General features: G+C 51.4%; 1 protein-coding gene across 1 annotated transcript, besides 4 other annotated features; it reads right to left on the bottom strand.

Annotated features, from left to right (window-relative positions):
- Positions 355-434: an enhancer, noted in NCBI's record as "active region_3292". NCBI's record gives its function as "activates an Ori minimal core promoter by ATAC-STARR-seq in GM12878 lymphoblastoid cells {active_cell/tissue: GM12878}" and the evidence as "EXISTENCE:reporter gene assay evidence [ECO:0000049][PMID:35858748]".
- Positions 485-564: an enhancer, noted in NCBI's record as "active region_3291". NCBI's record gives its function as "activates an Ori minimal core promoter by ATAC-STARR-seq in GM12878 lymphoblastoid cells {active_cell/tissue: GM12878}" and the evidence as "EXISTENCE:reporter gene assay evidence [ECO:0000049][PMID:35858748]".
- Positions 585-734: an enhancer, noted in NCBI's record as "active region_3290". NCBI's record gives its function as "activates an Ori minimal core promoter by ATAC-STARR-seq in GM12878 lymphoblastoid cells {active_cell/tissue: GM12878}" and the evidence as "EXISTENCE:reporter gene assay evidence [ECO:0000049][PMID:35858748]".
- Positions 4,494-4,543: a silencer, noted in NCBI's record as "silent region_2326". NCBI's record gives its function as "represses an Ori minimal core promoter by ATAC-STARR-seq in GM12878 lymphoblastoid cells {active_cell/tissue: GM12878}" and the evidence as "EXISTENCE:reporter gene assay evidence [ECO:0000049][PMID:35858748]".
- Positions 9,009-13,708, bottom strand: FXYD4 (FXYD domain containing ion transport regulator 4). The gene is made up of 9 exons (NM_173160.3): positions 13,647-13,708; positions 12,572-12,617; positions 11,561-11,829; positions 10,842-10,874; positions 10,705-10,731; positions 9,771-9,845; positions 9,610-9,649; positions 9,275-9,312; positions 9,009-9,197 (listed from the first exon to the last, which is right to left on the bottom strand). Exons 3-9 carry the CDS (start codon positions 11,595-11,597, stop codon positions 9,178-9,180), a joined length of 270 nt encoding a protein of 89 aa, NP_775183.1. The 5' UTR covers positions 11,598-11,829; positions 12,572-12,617; positions 13,647-13,708; the 3' UTR covers positions 9,009-9,177.
- Positions 13,709-17,404: the final 3,696 nt, after the last annotated feature.

Raw genomic sequence — 17,404 nt, 5'->3', positions numbered from 1 at the left:
TTTCCCACTTCACTAGCTGTATAATGTAACCTATATGTTATGATTTTACCAATATTAAGGGTCTTCATTAGTATCTTAAAGAGTAAATAAATGCTCTTGGTAAAACCCCTGAGAGCTGCATTAAAAATTAGGTCTGTGAAGTCTTCAGCCTTTTCTAGCCTCATTGGGCTTCAGAGGCTCACCTTAGGTACAGCCCTTCGTTCCAGTGTTCTGCATGCTTATGTTCTGCATGCTTGGATGGCCTGATGTGAGGGCAGCAGCATCACCAGGAATGGCAGGGTACAGGGACGCAGAAAGAGGCACTCGGAAGACTGGCATGGGGGAAACCTAGGGAGAACTGTCCTTGCTGTAACCCTGATCTGGGATCTCTGCCCACCCATGGGCCTACCATGCTTCAAGTGTCAGCACTGCATGGGGAAGGAGAGGCCTGTAGGTGAGGGAGACCCACAGAAACAGGTGGAGTTTCCGCTGGAAATGGGGCTGGAATGCCATGAAGATGAGACCTCAGATTTCGTAGAGTGGTGGAGATTCAAAGAGTACCTTCACAACCCTGGAAGTCTATGCTAGATTTAGGATGCATGGGTGGAAAGGGCTCCAGGGGATGGGAAAGGGAATGTGTTAGATGACCTGACATCCCAAGGTAACAACATAACATGGACAGCAAAACATCCCCTTGCTCCAGGATTGTTAACTTTTGTTGGGGAGGGACAAGTCTCTCTCTGATGCCCAGGCTGGAGTCTAGTGGCATGATATTGGCTCACTGCAGTGTCAGCCTCCCGTGCTCAAGTTATCCTCCCACCTCAGCCTCTCAAGTAGCTGGGACTGGAGGCGCACACCGCTATGCCCGGCTGATTTCTGTATTTTTTGTAGAGATGGGGTCTCACTATGTTGCCCAGACTGGTCTTGAACTCCTCAGCTCAAGTGATCTGTATTCTTCAGCCTCCCAAAGTTCTAAGATTTCAGGCATGCACCATGGCACCCAGCCATGCCCATTTGTTGCTACACACAGCCGTGCCCATTTGTTAATACTGTCCATGGCTGCCCAGGTACTACAGCAGGCAGAGAGATGGGTAGTTGTATCAGAGACCACATGGCCCACAAAACCTAAAATATTTACTGACACTACAGGAAATGTTTTTCAACCTGTGGCCTTGGGCATGACTAGGGCATTCCCTGCAAGGTAAAAGTCAAGATACTGCATCTTGTTATGTTGTAGAACCCCAAATTCAGGCTTGCGTACCTGATGTGTAGCTGATGCCAAACACCAAGACAAAGGTGCTTGGAGATAAAGGTTTATTTGATTTGGCCAAGGTGAGAAATCTGCCTTAACAAAAAGAAGCAGCGTGGAGTTTTTTTGTTTGTTTTGTTTTTTTAGAGATGGGGGTCTCCCTATATCACCCAGGCTGGAGTGCAGTGACTTTGAGAGAGTCTCAAAGTGCTGGGGTTATAAGCGTGAGCCACCGCGCACAGCCTCAGCATGGAAGTTTTGACCTCCGTTTTCAACCTGGGCCAGTTCACCCCTCCTTAGGCAACGTGGTGGTCCTCCACTCCTGGGAGGTCATAGCGAGGCCGAACTTGCTGCAGATACCCAATCGACATAGTACACTACAGCCTCGGCCTTCCAAAGTGCTGGGATTATAGGCATAAGCCACCATGCCAGGCATGGGGAGTTTTTACACAGCTAGAGACTAAGGGAGGGGCAGTTTCAGAGAACCGAGGGGGGAAAAGTCTGTGTTTCTTTAGTCTCACATAGTGTCTTGAATAACCAGACTTCTGGGTGTCTGCAGCTGGTCGCAGTGTGTTTAAAGACATTCATTACTTCTGCAAAATTTTTTTATGGCCCTGAAGTTATCCCCTCCTTCACAAGGAACAGTATTTCAGCAGTTCATAATTTCATTATGGGAACAAGGAATACTGGGCAAAAAGCGAGTGGTTAATGTGTAAGCAAGTAAGGGCCTGATAAGAATTTTCATCCCTTGAGTCACTAAAAATGCCGGGTGTTGAAAGAGGCATAATTTTGGGTAGTAGTTTTTGGATTTTGGAGAAAGCTGCTTTGACCCTTGAAAATACCCTGAGGCCTGGCGCAGTGGCTCACACCTGTAATGCCAGCACTTTGGGAGGCTGAGGCAGGTGGACTGCTTGAGCTGAGGAGTTGTTTTTTTTTGTTTTTTTTTAAAGACGGAGTCTCACTCACCCAGGCTAGAGTGCGGTGGTGCGATCTCGGCTCATTGCAACCTCCACCTCCCCAGTTCAAGCGATTCTGCCTCAGCTTCCTGAGTAGCTGGGATTACAGGTGGGTGTCACCACGCCCAGATAATTTTTGTATTTTTAGTAGAGATGGGGTTTTACCATGTTGGCCAGGGTGGTCTTGAACTCTGGACCTCAGGTGATCCACCCACCTCGGCCTCCCAAAGTGCTGGGATTACAGGTGTGAGCCAGTGTGCCCGGCCAAGCTGAGGAGTTTGAGCAGCTTGGGCAACATGGCAAGACACTCGACTCTACAAAAAATACAAAAATTACTCGGGCATGGTGGCTCACACCTGTAGGCCAGCTACTTGGGAGGCTGAGGTGGGAGGATCGCTTGAGCCCAGGTGGCGGAGGTTGCAGTGAGCCAAGATTGCACCACTGCACCTCAGCCTGGATGACAGTGAGACCCTGTCTCAAAAAAAAAAAGGAAATACTACTCCTGCTAATTATCAGGTGACCAGAAGGATGCAAGGACTCCACCAGCTCCTCTGCCATCTGCTACAAATGACAGCATAGGCCCCATCAAAGAGGTACCTGTGTTCCTAAATGATTTCATGTGGCACCTCTGATAAGTCTCAGTAAACACTCAGGCCAAACCCTGAAACTCTGAGTGTTCTGAATCAAGGCCACGTTTTCTGCAGGAGAGGGCTAGTTACCTTTCTTTTCTTTTTCTTTCTTTTTTTTTTTTTGAGACGGAGTCTCGTTCTGTTGCCCAGGCTGGAGTGCAGTGGCGCGATCTCAGCTCACCGTAATCTCCGTCTCCCAGGTTCAAGCGATTCTTCTGTCTCCGCCTCCCAAGTAGCTGGGATTACAGGCACCCACCACCACACCTGGCTAATTTTCATATTTTTAGTAGAGACAGGGTTTCACCATGTTGGCCAGGCTGGTCTCAAACTCCTGACCTCAGGCTATCTGCCCACCTCAGCCTCCCAAAGTGCTGAGATTACAGGCATGAGCCACCATGCCCAGCCTAGTTACCTTTCAAGAAGCTGCCCCCAAGTACTTAGCAGTATGGGAGATAAGTCACCTGCACTAAGACCACCCTCATGATTTGGGTGCTGACAGATGCATCAAGTCTCAAGGCATCTCAGTTTTATTATCAGTTTTTGTTTTTTTAAAAGAATTGGGCTGGGCGCGGTGGTTCACACCTATAATCTCAGCACTTTGGGAGGACGAGGCGGGCGGATCACCTGAGGTCAGGAGTTCCAGACCATCCTGGCCAACATGGTGAAATCCCATCTCTACTAAAATTACAAAAATTAGCTGGGCGTGGGGGCACACGCCTGTAGTCCTAGCTACTCAGGAGGCTGAGGCAGGAGAATTCTTGAACCCAGGAGGCGGAGGGTGCAGTGAGCCGAGATCATGCCACTGCACTCCAGCCTGGTGACAGAGCGAGACTCCGTCTCTAAAAAAAAAAAAAAAAAAAAAAGGAATCTTACTCTGTTGCCCATGCTAAAGAGCTAAAGAGCAGTGGTGAGATGATAGCTCTCTCTTTTTTTTTTTTTTTTTTTTTTTGAGACTGGGCCTTGCTCTGTCACCCAGGCTCGAGTGCAGTGGCATGATCGCGATCACGGCTCACTGCAGCCTCAAACTCTCAAGTGATCCAACTGCCTCATCCTAAGTAGCTGGGACTACAGGCATGCACCACCACACCCAGCCTAACACTTTTTTTTTCTTTTTTTTGAGACGGAGTCTCACTCTATTGCCCAGGTTGGAATGCAGTGCACCTCTTCCTCTTGGGTTTAAGTGATTCATCTGCTTCAGCCTCCCGAGTAGCTGGGATTATAGGCGCCTGCCATCACACCTGGCTAATTTTGTATTTTTAGTAGAGACAGGGTTTCACCATGTTGGTCAGGCTGGTCTCGAACCCCTAACCTTAGATGATCCACCTGCCTCGGCTTCCCAAAGTTTTGGGATTACAGGTGTGAGCCACCGTGCCCGGTCCTAACATTCTCGAAATAACAAAACTATAGAGATAGAGGACAGTTTAGTGGTTGCCAGAGGTTAGGCCTAGGGGGCCTAAGTAGGGAGGGAAATGGGTTTGGCTATAAAAGAGGAGCATGAGGGATCCTGGTAATGAACTGGTCCAGATCTTGACTGTGGTGGTCACAGGCATCACAGGTGATAAAGTTGCACAGAACTAAACGTACATACACACACAAATGAGTGATGTAACACTGGTGAAATCTCAGTAAGGCCAATGCTTCTAGCAGTTTCAATATTCTGCTGTGATATAGTGTACTATAGCTATGCAAGAAGTTGCCACTGGGGGAAACTGGCTTATCTCTCCCCATTATTTTTTACAATTGCATGTGAATCTACAATTATCTTAAATGTAAGGTTTTTTTGTTTTGTTTTGTTTTAGTTTGTTTTGTTTTAGTTGTTTTAGTTTGTTTTGTTTTAGTTTGTTTTGTTTTAGTTGTTTTAGTTTTGTTTTAGTTTGTTTTGTTTTAGTTGAGAAAAAAGATGCAGGCCAGGTGCTGTGGCTCACGCCTGTAGTCCCAGCATTTTGGGAGGCTGAGGTGGGAGGATTGCTTGAACGCAGGAGTTCCAGACCAGCCTAGGCAACACAGTGAGAGCCCATCTCTACATAAAAAAAATTAGCTGGGCCAGGTGCAGTGGCTCTTGCCTGTAATCCCAGCACTTTGGGAGGCTGAGGTGGGTGGATCACCTGAGGCTGGGAGTTCGAGACCAGCCTGACCAACATGGAAAAACCCCGTCTCTACTAAAAAAAAAAAACAAAATTAGCCAGGCATGGTGGCACATGCCTGTAATCCCAGCTAATCAGGAGGCTGAGGTAGGAGAATCACTTGAACCCAGGGGGCAGAGGTTGTGGTGAGCCGAGATCATGCCATTGCACTCCAGCCTGGGCAACAAGAGCGAAACTCCATCTCAAAAGAAAAAATTTGCTGGGCATAGTGACACGCGCCTGTGGTCCTACCTAATCTGGAGGCTGAAGTGGGAAGATTGCTTTAGCCTGGGAGGTTGAGGCTGCCATGAGCTGTAATCATGCTACTGCACTCCAGCCTGGGTGAGAGAGTGAGACCCAGTTTTAAGAAAAAAAAGAAGAAAATAAAAAAAATACAGAAATTAAAAAAAGAGAGCTGGGTGCCATGGCTCACGCCTGTATTCCTAGCACTTTGGGAGGCTTAAGCTCAGGAGTTTGAGACTAGCCTGGGCAACATGACGAGACTTCATCTCTACAAAAAATATAGCCGGGTGTGGTGGCATGTGCCTGTAGTTCCAGCTACTTGGGAGGCTGAAGCAGAGGTTGCAGTGAGATGAGATTGCATCACTGCACCCCAGCCTGGGCGACAGAGCCAGACTTTGTCTCAAAAAAAAAAAAAAAAAAAAGTATTATTTTAAATCAGAATAATAAGTCCTTTCTCTAGTCCTCACCTTTGGGTTCTGAAACAATACCTTTTTTTTTTTTTTTTTGAGACCGAGTCTCACTCTGTTGCCAGGCTGGAGTGCAATGGCACGATCTCAGCTCATTGCAACCTCCGCCTCCCGGATTCAAGCAATTCTCCTGCCTCAGCCTCCTGAGTAGCTGGGATTACAGACATGTGCCACCACGCCCAGCTAATTTTCTATTTTTACTAGACACGGGGTTTCACCATGTTGGTCAGGCTGGTCCCGACCTCAGGTGATCTGCCCGCCTCAGCCTCCCAAAGTGCTTGGATTACAGGCTTGAGCCACTGTGCCTGGCAATAGCCTGAGTTCTGATTCCAAACTCACAAGGCCAACTCCCAGGTACAAGAGGGAAAAGATGATCTGAAAGACTAGAGAACAATTTTTTTTTTTTTGCAAACTTTTAAACTTGATTATTTTGGGGTGCTAGGTTAGAAGTTGGTTTACTTTGTGAGTAAATGTCTCTGTGATGTTTGTTTTCTTTCTTTCTTTTTTTTTTTTTTTGGAGACAGAGTCTCGGTCTGTCACCCAGGCTGGAGTGCAGTGGTGCGATCTCGGCTCACTGCAACCTCCACATCCTGGGTTCAAGTGATCCTCCCACCTTAGCCTCCTGAGTAGCTAGGATTACAGGCATGAGCCACTGCACCCGGCCAATTTTTGTATTTTTAGTAGTGACAGGGTTTCACCATGTTGGCCAGGCTGCTCCTGAACTCTGGACCTCAAAATGATCCTCCCACCTCGGCCTCCCAAAGTGCTGGGATTACAGGCGTGAGCCACTGAACCCAGCCCTGAAAAATAAAAGATTTTTAAAATAAAAAAGTGAGGAAGGATGTATAGTCACCCAGCAGCACAGTCCCTGGGCTCTGTCTTTGACAATGATAAACATCGGGAAGGCAACAGGCCCCAGTCCTTTGGAAACAGGGCTCAGGAGCAGGACACCAGGGTTGGAGGCTGGCTGTGGAATTCGTTAGCCCATGAGAACCTCTGGGTGCCTCCTCTCCTCTAACCTAACCCTAACCCTAATGTCATCCGCATCACATAGGTTGCTAGGAAAATTTGACATGTGTGAAGTGTTTACAGTGGTGTCTGTCACTCAGTAAATCCCCAATTGAGTGGAAATGACACTTTGCTTTCTCTGGTCCCCCCTACCTCTCCCCACAGCCCCTCAACTAGGAGAGGATGACAAGGGGAAATCACCCACCAGCTCTGAAACAGGCCCCAGGAAGGGGTCTCTGACGCACAGCCAGTAATCCCACAAAGGGAAGCCTGGAGAGCCTCTGTCATGCCCTAGTCAGCCCATTCCTCACTCCCAGAAGGGAGAGAGGAGAGCTCGTTTCCCCTGGGAACCAGGGTCCCAACTCCAGGGCCTGGCCTTGTCCATCTGGGGCTAACACTGACTCCATCCTCCACTGTCATCCAGACCTGGCCTCCCATCAGTTTCTGACTCCTCCCACCATGATTTTCCCAGGTTCCATGAGCGAGAGCCGTCACCCTCCACATCAGAGAGATAAGCCTGTCACTGGACAGTCACACCTAGGGACTCGTGTGGTGGGGCCTCCTACATAAGTGGTCACTTATAGGACTTGGGGGAACTGTGACACCTGTCCAGGAGAAGTTTAAATGAAGCAGCATGAGAGCTTGAAAGAAGAGCGGCAGGTCTCCACCACGACGTGGCCCCAGGATACATGTGAAGGTGGAGGTGGGTGGCTGTCACGTCCAGAAACCTCTGCTCCCCAGTGGGGCACTGGGGTTGGAAGTTGAGGCTGCATCTCTTGTCAGGGTCATGGGGCCACCATGCAAGGACAGGGTTTGCTAGGATTTCAAACAGCAGAGCTCCTGATAGTCGTGACTGCGTGGCCCTGGGTTCCTCAGTCAGAAAGCATGCACTGCTTCCGGTCACCTTTGTGTGGCTTCCCCTGGGTCTGCCACTCCAGACTTGGCTTTCTTACCGCACTTTTCATGTTCTCAAAAGCAGTCTCTCACACCAGCGTCTTCCCGTGCCAACGAGGAGAGAGCTCTGCACTGCACCCCCTGGATGAGGAGGCGTGCTCAGGAGCCCCCTTCTACCAGCCCTGCTGGGTGGCTCCCACCCCTGCCTCTGCGTCCTGCAGGGCTGGGCCTTGCCTCCTCAGTGATCCTATCGCCTGCATTCCAGTCGTGCTGCTAATTCCCTCCACCAGGGTGGTTTGCGCACAGGCCCCTCCCTAGGTCCACCTGTGCAGACTCAGCGCTGCCTCTGGGCTGGCCATACCACCTGGGGCTGCTGGTACAGGACAGCTTCCCCAAAGCACTGGGGCTTGCCAGGCCTTCTGTGACCCACCCAAGATTCCCTGATAGTGGCTGGACTCAGCCAGGTATCTTTAGTCCCACTCAGCCCCACCTTGGAACCTTGCTCTCAGTCCCTACGTGTCCTGTTTCAAAGGCCCTGGAAGACATGTGGACCTCATTTTTACACCTCTGGGGCCCTGCACAAGTCTCTGACCCCACCCACAAGGCAGGTGACCCTAAGTCTAGGATACATCATACTTCTCAAGGATGTGGCCCACCCTGAGACATGGAGGAAGGGTGCATCATTGGAGACAGCTGCCCAGCCCAAGCCCTGGCCTCAGATTGGGAGCTGCCACCTGGCGGGGACTCCATTGTTCTCTGGCCTTTGCTGGAGGCAGAGGCTAGAAGTGGTCTCAGTTCCTTCTCCTGGGCTGTCAAGGGGCAGGACTGCAGGATGGGCACCAGGCAGAAGTGGCACTTCACACCCCTGCCTGGGGTGCCACAGGGACATTGCCAGGGAAGTCTTCCTGGAGGGGAGTTCAGGCATGCCAAAGAACTTGGATTTGCACACATGGTGTTTGTCTCCCACATGCACTATGCAGGGCTTCTCGAGACATACTTCTTCATGGAATTTCACAGGATATTTCCTGGGAGGAGGGGGGCCCATGGGGTGAGCTGAGGATTTTACTGGGATGGGTCAAAGGAATTGCTACATTTTCTACCATAGAGAGCATTCACTGGGTGAGGTCTCAATGGGGGGTCTCAATTGAGGTCTCAATGGGGGGGTGAGCCCTGGGGGTCGCTCTAGATTAAAGGAAGTCATGGGTACCTGAGGCATCAGGACTTCTAGGGCCCCCGTGCAAGTGGTGGAAATGGAAAGGTCTTCTGTTATAACACTGTGGTATCTCACAGTGCATGGGTCTCTCTGTGGGGCTTGCTGGAGTGGGAGCCATAGGAGACAGTTGGGCGGCAGGGACTCAGGGACTGGGAAGCTTGCTGGGAGTGGGCATCCAGGGAAAGTCAGCAATCCAAGGGATTACCCACCCCCAGACCCAAAGACGATGGATCACAAGACTACCGAGGAGGGGGTGGTGGGGCGAGTTTAATTCATAAAGAAGCCTCCTGATCAGAAAGGGGCCTAACAGCCTGCCCTTGGAGAGAAGTCCTTCCTTGAGGATAAGGCCTCCCAGGGGAGGAGGTGCTGGGGGCCAGTGTTAGGCTTCAGGCCATCCCTGGAGGCCAGTCCTGTGCTCAGCAAGTAGTGGCAGAGCCTGCGGAGAGTGGCGGGCAGGCCATCAGACACAGTCCTTACACAGACACCCCCTCAGCCCACAGAAGCCCGTCTCACCTGGAGTGATGAGTGGGATGGCCTTCTCAGGTACAGGACTAGAGAAAGGACCACATCAGAGTAGTATCAGGTTAGCCTGGAGGACCTTCTCCCCTATATCCCAGACTCTTGCTGCCCGGCCCCAGGAGTGCAAGTCCTTGCTCTCCTTCCATGGTCACTTCCCACAATACCGAGGTCAGAGCTTTCCTGACTGGGGCCCTTCAGGGTTGACTATCTGAATAACAAAGCCAGCTGCAAGCCCAGCGAGTGGCCAGGATGCTGTCCACTCTCCAGGTCAGGACTGTCCCCCCGTAGTTCTGCCCCGAAGGAGGAGGGCACCATAGGGTCAGGCTCACCTGTGCTGCTTCTGGCTGCTCTTGCATTTGCATTTGCCACCTGGGAGAGAGAGAGGGGTCAGCGCCAGGGTCAGTGCTGGAATGAGAGCACTCTCTCTTTCTGCCCCACCCTGTCCGCCAGCCCCACCCTGTCCTCCAGCCCCACCTGTCCTGCCACTCACTCAGAACTGCCGCGATCCCAGCAATGGCCAGGAGCCCTCCGCAGATCAGTCCGCTCAGCTGCAGGTTTTTCCAGTCTGGGGTGGGTACAGAGAGTGAGCTTGCACCAGCCTGGGGCCTCAGTCATTCATTCAAAAGACACTCCTGAGCCCCTGCTTGTGCCAGCCGCTGCCATATACATAAAGACAAGCCAGCAACAGAGGCATCATTCTGCGTCTCGTGGGGAAACACTAAGAAGAAAAAAAGTGAGGCTGGGTGCGGTGGCTCACATCTGTAATCCCATCACTTTGGGAGGCCGAGGCGGGCAGATCACCTGAGGTCAGAAGTTCGAGACCAGCATGACCAATATGGTGAAACCCCATCTCTACTAAAAATACAAAAATTAGCTAGGCGTGGCGGCAGGCGCCTGTAGTCCCAGCTACTCGAGAGGCTGAGACAGGAGAATTGCTTGAACCCGGGAGATGGAGGTTGCAGTGACCCGAGATCATGCCACTGTACTCCAGCCTAGGCGACAGAGTCAGAATCTGTCTCAAAAAAAAAAAAAAAAAAAAAAAGAAGTGGACATGCGCAAAGAAAGGGCTTTGAAGGATGATCAAGGAAAGCTGTCCTGGAGCTGAGGCCCAGGGGAGAGGAGGAGAGGAGGACTGCCTGAGGGCTGGGGACTAGGGAAAGGGAGGGTGAGGGTGAGTGAAGGCAAGAGGGTAGGGGTGATTTATCGGGGTGCCTAACCACCCAGGCACCAGCCCTTCTCCAGGAGGGTTCCTAAGCATCCTGTGGCCACCCTCCCCTTGTTGGAGCGACGCTCTCACAGAGACCAGGTTTAATCCCCCATCCCACTTTGTCTACACTAGGTCCACACTACCCCTCACCAACTTGTCTAGCAAAGAGGTCCAGGATAGGCAAGGGTAGGGTGGGGGTGGGAATATCAGCTCTTACCATAGTAGAAGGGATCGTCTTTATTGGCTAGAAAAAGTGGGGCAAAAAGACTTCAGAACCAGAACCAGGAGACAGGATGTGGGTGTCAGAGGGGAGATGTGGGCAGAGTGGGCAGGCTGTTTGGGGGCCTCACTCACCAAATGGGTCATTGGCTTCCAAGGCAGTCAGGCCTGTGTGGGAGGAGCAGAGAAAATGTGTGGGAATTCATGACACTGGTGTCCAAGTAAGCCAGACAGCAGGACCCCAGCCCGGAGGTTGTGGGGTGACCCTGGAGCCACCAGTTCCCTTCCTCACGCCCTCCCCAGCCCCACACAGCCTCAGGGTGTGGCCCCGCCCAAGCCCTGCTGTCCCAGGCTTCCTGATGCTCCTGTGTGCATGCTGACTGGGATGGTTTGTTATGTCTCTGCCCCCTGAAGAAACAGGGAATGCTTGTCTTTTTTATGAGTCGGAACCTCTCTCTGTCACCCAGGCTGGAGTGCAATGGTGCAATCCTAGCTCACTGCAACCTCGACCTCCCAGGCTCAAGTGATCCTCCCAGGCTCAAGTGATCCTCCCACCTTGGCCTCCCAAAACACTGGGATTACAGGCCTGAGCCGCTGTGCCACCCTGCTTTTGTCTTCAAGCCACAGGTGGTTAATGTTTTCCATGGTTCAATTCCTCTGGAGCTATTAGGACCTTTTTGCAATATTCTCATCCTACCTGTACTGTCATTTCCTTCATGTTTCTCTCTAAATTGGCAGTTTAAATAAAGCATGCTGATTGAACACCAGACTCCCAAAGGAGATGTTGTCTGGCTTTTGCTGCCTTTGTGGGTGGGGTGAATGCAAGAGGGTCCCAGGAGACTGGGAGGACTCACCTGCCAGTAGGAGAAGGGCCAGGGTCACTCTCTCCATGTCACAGTTCGAGGGGCAGGGCTGCAGGGGGAGAGGCACTGGGGCGGGGGTCTGCAGCCCACGGATCTGCTCCAGGCTCACAGCTCAATTGGTCAGCGAGAGGAGGCAGGGGCGGGGGCAGGCAGAGCCCCATGGTGAAAGTAGGTGTACAAACCCCAAGGATACACTTGCTTGTGGGGAGATCTTGGGAAAGTAACTACTTTCTGTCTTCCCATCTAGAGATGGTGGTGGCCTGGGGGAGTTGTGTGGATTGAGTAAGCACAAGCTAAGAGCTCAAAACTGTGCCTGCACAGAGTAAGTGCTGTAGAAGGCGTTGTTAAAATCCATGCGACAAACCCACCCCCTACTCCTCCCCATGAGGAAGATACTATTATTGTCTCTATTTCAGAGAAGAAAAAAAAAAATGGAGCTTAGAGAGGTGTAATCAGATGCCCAGGGTCAGGTGGCTGCTATTCTAAGTCAGGGTCTGGAGCCTGCCTTCCTAACCCCACACAAAGGGCATTGTTATCAGGCCCCAGGCTATTGTTCCCAAAGGTCTGGGCCTGGGGTGGCCAGAGTCCAGCACCCTCAGTCTGAATTCCCAGAGAGCCTCCACAAAAGCAAGGGTGTGGAGGAGGGAGGGAGTGCTGAGTCCTGGGATGAGATGACTGCAGCAGCCAGGACCTCCCCTGCCAGCCCTGGCAGGGGACCCTACTCCAGCAGACCCAGATTCTGCTCTCAGAGTATAGACCTCCTGTGGTATGACATTTCCCCCTCAGGTTGGAAGTAGCCAGGACCCCATTTACTTGTCCTTAGGGAGGCTGAGTCTTTGAGCGCAGGCCCCCTCCCAGCCCTCTGCATATTGTTAGCCTAGTGTGGTCAAGTTTTCAATACTGAAGCCATTGTCATCATCTGCTGTACCCAGCTCTGGCCTCCTGATGAGATCACAGATCCAGGGCCAGCTGTCTGGGCTGGGTCCCTTCTTAGCAACTTACCAACTGTGTGACTCTGCAGGTTCCTCACTGCTCCTTCACCAGTGTCCTGTAAAAGGAGGATCATCAGAATAGTAGCAACCTCATAAGGTTATAGCGATGGAATTACGTGAACTACTATTTGTCAAGCCTAAGAACTATGCCTAGCACACAGTAAGCACTAAAAACCTGTTACAATAAATACATCCATAGGCCGGGCGCAGTGGCTCACACCTATAATCCCAGCACTTTGGGAGGCTGAGGCGGGTGGATCACCTGAGGTCAGGAGTTCAAGATCAGCCTGGCCAACATGGCAAAACCCCATCTATACTAAAAATACAAAAATTAGCTGAGTGTGGTGACAGGCGCCTGTATTCCCAGCTACTTGGGAAGCTGAGGCAGGAGAATCACTTAAACCTGGAAGGTGGAGGTTGCAGTGAGCCGAGATCCTGGCACTGCACTCCAGCCTGGGCAACAGAGGGAGACTCCATCTCAAAATAAATAAATAAATACATCCATAAATAAACACATGGTCCTTCTGCAGTGGGAGGGAGGCACTGGAGGGAGAGACTGTTAGGCACTGCTTCTGAACATCGGTTCTTGGGCTAGGAGCAGTCTCCAAAGCTGGCTTCCCCCAGCCTTCACTGGTCTCTCTACCTTCACCAACCTGGAGTTCCTGGAATACGAGGGTCTCAACTCTAGGTCACATTTTTTATTTTATTATTATTATTATTACTATTTTTTTTTTTTTTGAGACAGGGTCTTGCTCTGTTACCCAGGATGGAGAGCAGTGGCGTGATCTCGGCTCACTGCAGCCTTGAACTCTCTTGGCTCAGGTGATCTCCTCACCTGAGTATCTCAAGCAGTTGGGACCAGAGGTATACCCCACCAGCTCATATATTCTTTAGCCAAGGGCTGGCTTCTGTTTCCTCCAACCCCCAACCCACCATCCATATGATAGTGGGTGCAAAGCAGGAGGCCTTCAAGCGGCTGCTGCAGCCATATCTGTCCTCAGACCCCTCAACAGGCTCCTCATTACTCAGAATTCTTGGGCACCCACCCCCTTCACCCAGCAGCCCCAAAGTGGACGCCTGCTCACCTGCGAGGTCACCTTGGCGAGGGCTCACCTGAGCTGGCAGCGCAGAGAACGGATCTGAGGAGGCTGCTGGGCACGTGGGTCGGCTCTTTAAACCCTGCAGCCACGCCCAGGGCTCCATGACGCAGGCTGGAGGGAACTGGTCAGGCTCCCTGCCACACCCAGGGCTGTTGGGGAGGGGCGGGCTGGGCCGAAGACCCTCTTTTGGCTTCTTTTTTTTTTTTTTTTTTTTTTTTTTTTCTTTTTTTGAGATGGAGTCTCACTCTGTCACCCGGGCTGGAGTGCAGTGATGCAATCTCAGCTCACTGCAACCTCTGCCTCCTGGGTTCAAGCAATTCCCCTGCCTCAGGCTCCCGAGTAGCTGGGACTACAGGTGCACGCCACCACACCTGGCTAATTTTTTTTGTATTTTAGTAGAGATGGGGTTTCAATGTGTTGCCCAGGCTGGTCTCCAACTCCTGAGCTCAGGCAATCCGCCCACCTCGGCCTCCCAAAGTGCTAGGATTACAAGCGTGAGCCACCGCGCCCAGCCTTTCTTTTGGCTTCTTTAGCTCACCCAGATCCTAAAAGAGGGACCTGGAGGGTGCTGGGCAGGGTGTTCCTGGGCTCTTGTGCCAGCTTTGGGGGTTCTGGGACCTCTGTGTGGGGGTGTCCTGGGGACCACGGAGGATACCAGGAGCCAGGCACTGACCTTGAGGCTCCCTGTGCTCAGCAGTGCCATGCCACTGCTGTCACTTGGGCTGGGTGTCTACTGAAGGGAGGCTGGTGGCCGATGGGCACCCCCGGGGGTGGCTCACCCTCTGACAGGGCCCTGACACCCACTTAGCCTCCCCCACAGGTGAGGGATGGGGCCAGGAGGAGGATAGACGCCCCCGGCTGAGGAGTGGGCTGCCTCCCTCTGCAGACCTCAGGCCTGCCTTGTTGCTGGGGGCCAAAGTCACCCCACACAGGCGTGTGGAGGACCCCAGGCCTCCCTAGTCTGCTGTTACCCCTCCTTAATTCTTTTCCAAATGAGGGACACTTGTCCCTGTCCAGAAGGTAAGGGGGGATGGCTGACAAGGGATGGGGGTCTCTGGGCTGGGAGGGCTGGGGAGGGCAATGATGGTTTAGTTGGTTTGTTTGTTTATTTATATATTTATTTTTGAGCTGGAATTTCGCTCTGTCGCCCAAGCTGGAGTGCAGTGGCTCGATCTTGGCACACCACAACCTCCACCTCCCAGGTTCAAGCAATTCTGTCTCAGCCTCCCGAGTAGCTGGGATTACCGGCACACACCACTGTGCCCAGCTAATTTTTGTATTTTTAGTAGAGATGGGATTTCGCTATGTTGAGCAGGCTGGTCTCGAGCTCCTGACCTCAGGCGATCCACTGCCTCGGCCTCCCAAAATGCTGGGATTACAGGTGTGAGACACTATGTCTGGCCCAGACATACTTTTAAGTGGAAAAAAAGTATAGGGCAGTCTGAATAGGATGCTGTCACTTGTGTAAAAATATAAAATATTGGTTGGGAAAGGCGGCTCACGCCTGTAACCCCAGCACTTTGGGAGGCTGAGGTGGGCCTGTGTCTGTGTGCATGCTGCATGGGGCTTAGCACAGAGGAGGCGTCCCGGTGTTTCCTCAGCCAGCTGTTTACTTGAGTTCATTGCATATATGACTGCACCTAGCCCTCACAGAAGTCTTTGGAGGTTCATACTCTCATTAGCCTGTCAATCTACAATAGTCAAACAGGTTAGATTTTAGTTTAAAGGAGTTTATTTAAGTGTAAAGGTTAAGGATGGCCTGCTCAGGAAGTAAGGATGGTAAAGAATGGAAGTCATGGCTGGGGGCGGTGGCTCACGGTTGTGATCCCAGCACTTTGGGAGGCTGAGGAGGGCAGAACATGAGATCAGGAGTTCAAGACCAGCCTGGCCAACAAGGTGAAACCCCGTCTCTACTAAAAATACAAAAATTAGCCGGGCGTGGTGGCGCGCTCCTGTAGTCCCAGCTACTTGGGAAACTGAGGCAGGAGAATCGCTTGAACCTGGGAGGCGGAGGTTGCAGTAAGCTGAGATCGTGCCACCGCACTCCAGCCTCAGCGACAGAGCGAGACTCCATCTTAAAAAAGAAAAAAAGAGAAGAATGGAAGTCAGAGTTTTAAAGTCTCGGTGGAGTGTGGGGGTTAAATCCTGACACTCTGGGAGGCCAAGGTGGGCAGATCACTTGAGCCCAGGAGTTTGAGACCAGTCTGGGCAACATAGCGAGACCCCATCTCTACAAAAAAAAATAGAACAAACAGCCTGGCGTGGTGGCACACACCTATACTCCAGCAGAGGTGGGAGGATCGCTTCAGCATGGGAGGTCAAGGCTGCTGTGAGCCCAGAAAGCACCACTGCACTCCAGCCTGGGTGACAGAGGGAGACCTGTCTCACAATAAATACGTAAAATGTAGAAGTTTGGGATCATTTATTTTATTTTTATTTTTTTGAGACAGAGTCTCATTCTGTTGAGACAGAGTCATTCTGTTGCCCAAGCTAGAGTGCAGTGGCACGATCTCTGCTCACTATAACCTCCGCCTTTTGGGTTCAAGTGATTCTTGTGCCTCAGCCTCCTGAGTAGCTGAGATTACAGGCCCGAGCCTCCATGCCCAGCTAATTTTTTCTATTTTTAGTAGAGACAGTGTTTCACTACTTTGACCAGGCTGGTCTCAAACTCCTGACCTCAAGTGATCCACCTGCCTCGGACTCCGAAAGTGCTGGGATTACAGGCATGAGCCACCGTGCCTGGCCTGGGATCGTTTATATAGACACAGTTTAGGAACGTTTAACAGGATTTTAGCTGTTTTTTTAATCTTTTTTGAGACAGGGTCTCCCTCTGTCGCCCAGGCTGAAGTGCAATGATACAGTCATGGCTCTCTGCAGCCTCGACCTTCTGGAACAAGCAATTCTCCTGCCTCACCCTCCTGCGTAGCTGGGACTACAAGTGCACGCCACCACGCCAGGCTAATTTTTGTATTTTTTTTGGTAGAGACAGTTTTGCCATGTTGCCCAGGCTGGTCTCAAACTTCTGGGCTCTAGTGATTCACTTCCCTTGGCTGCCTAAAGTGTTGGGATTACAGATGTGAGCCACCCACTGCCGCTGGCTGAATTTTAACTTTTAAAATTTAAGGTTTAATGCATAGTTATAATGATCTGGGCCGAGTGTGGTGGCTCACGTCTGTAATCCTAGCACTTTAGGAGGCCGAGGCAGGTGGATCACCTGAGGTCGGGAGTTCGAGATCAGCCTGACCAACATGGAGAAACCCCATCTCTACTAAAAACACAAAATTCGCCGGGCGTGGTGGCGCATGCCTGTAATCCCAGCTACTTGGGAGGCTGAAGCAGGAGAATTGCTCGAACCTAGGAGGCAGAGGTTGCAGTGAGCCAAGATTGCGCCATTGCACTCCAGCCTGGGCAACAAGAGTGAAACTCCATCTCAAAAAAAAAATGATCTGATCAGTTGAGGTAGTCTTTCTTTAGGAGGAAGTTCTATTTAACACTTTATTTATTTAAAATTTAAATATTTGTATATAAAATGAAGGCTGAGTCAGGCTGGGGGTGGTAGCTCACGCCTGTAATCCCAGCACATTGGGAGGCCGAGGTGGGAGGATCACGAGGTCAGGAGTTTGAGACCAGCCTGGCCAACATACTGAAATCCCGTCTCTACTAAAAAATACAAAAAATTAGCTGGGCATGGTGGCGGGAGCCCGTAATCCCAGCTATTCGGAAGGCTGAGGCAGGAGAATCAC

Source organism: Homo sapiens, chromosome 10 (genome assembly GCF_000001405.40).
Source record: "Homo sapiens chromosome 10, GRCh38.p14 Primary Assembly".
In the NCBI taxonomy this organism is placed as follows: Eukaryota; Metazoa; Chordata; class Mammalia; order Primates; family Hominidae; genus Homo; species Homo sapiens.
Note: the sequence above shows the minus strand (reverse complement) of the source record. Positions and strands in the feature narration are given on the sequence as shown.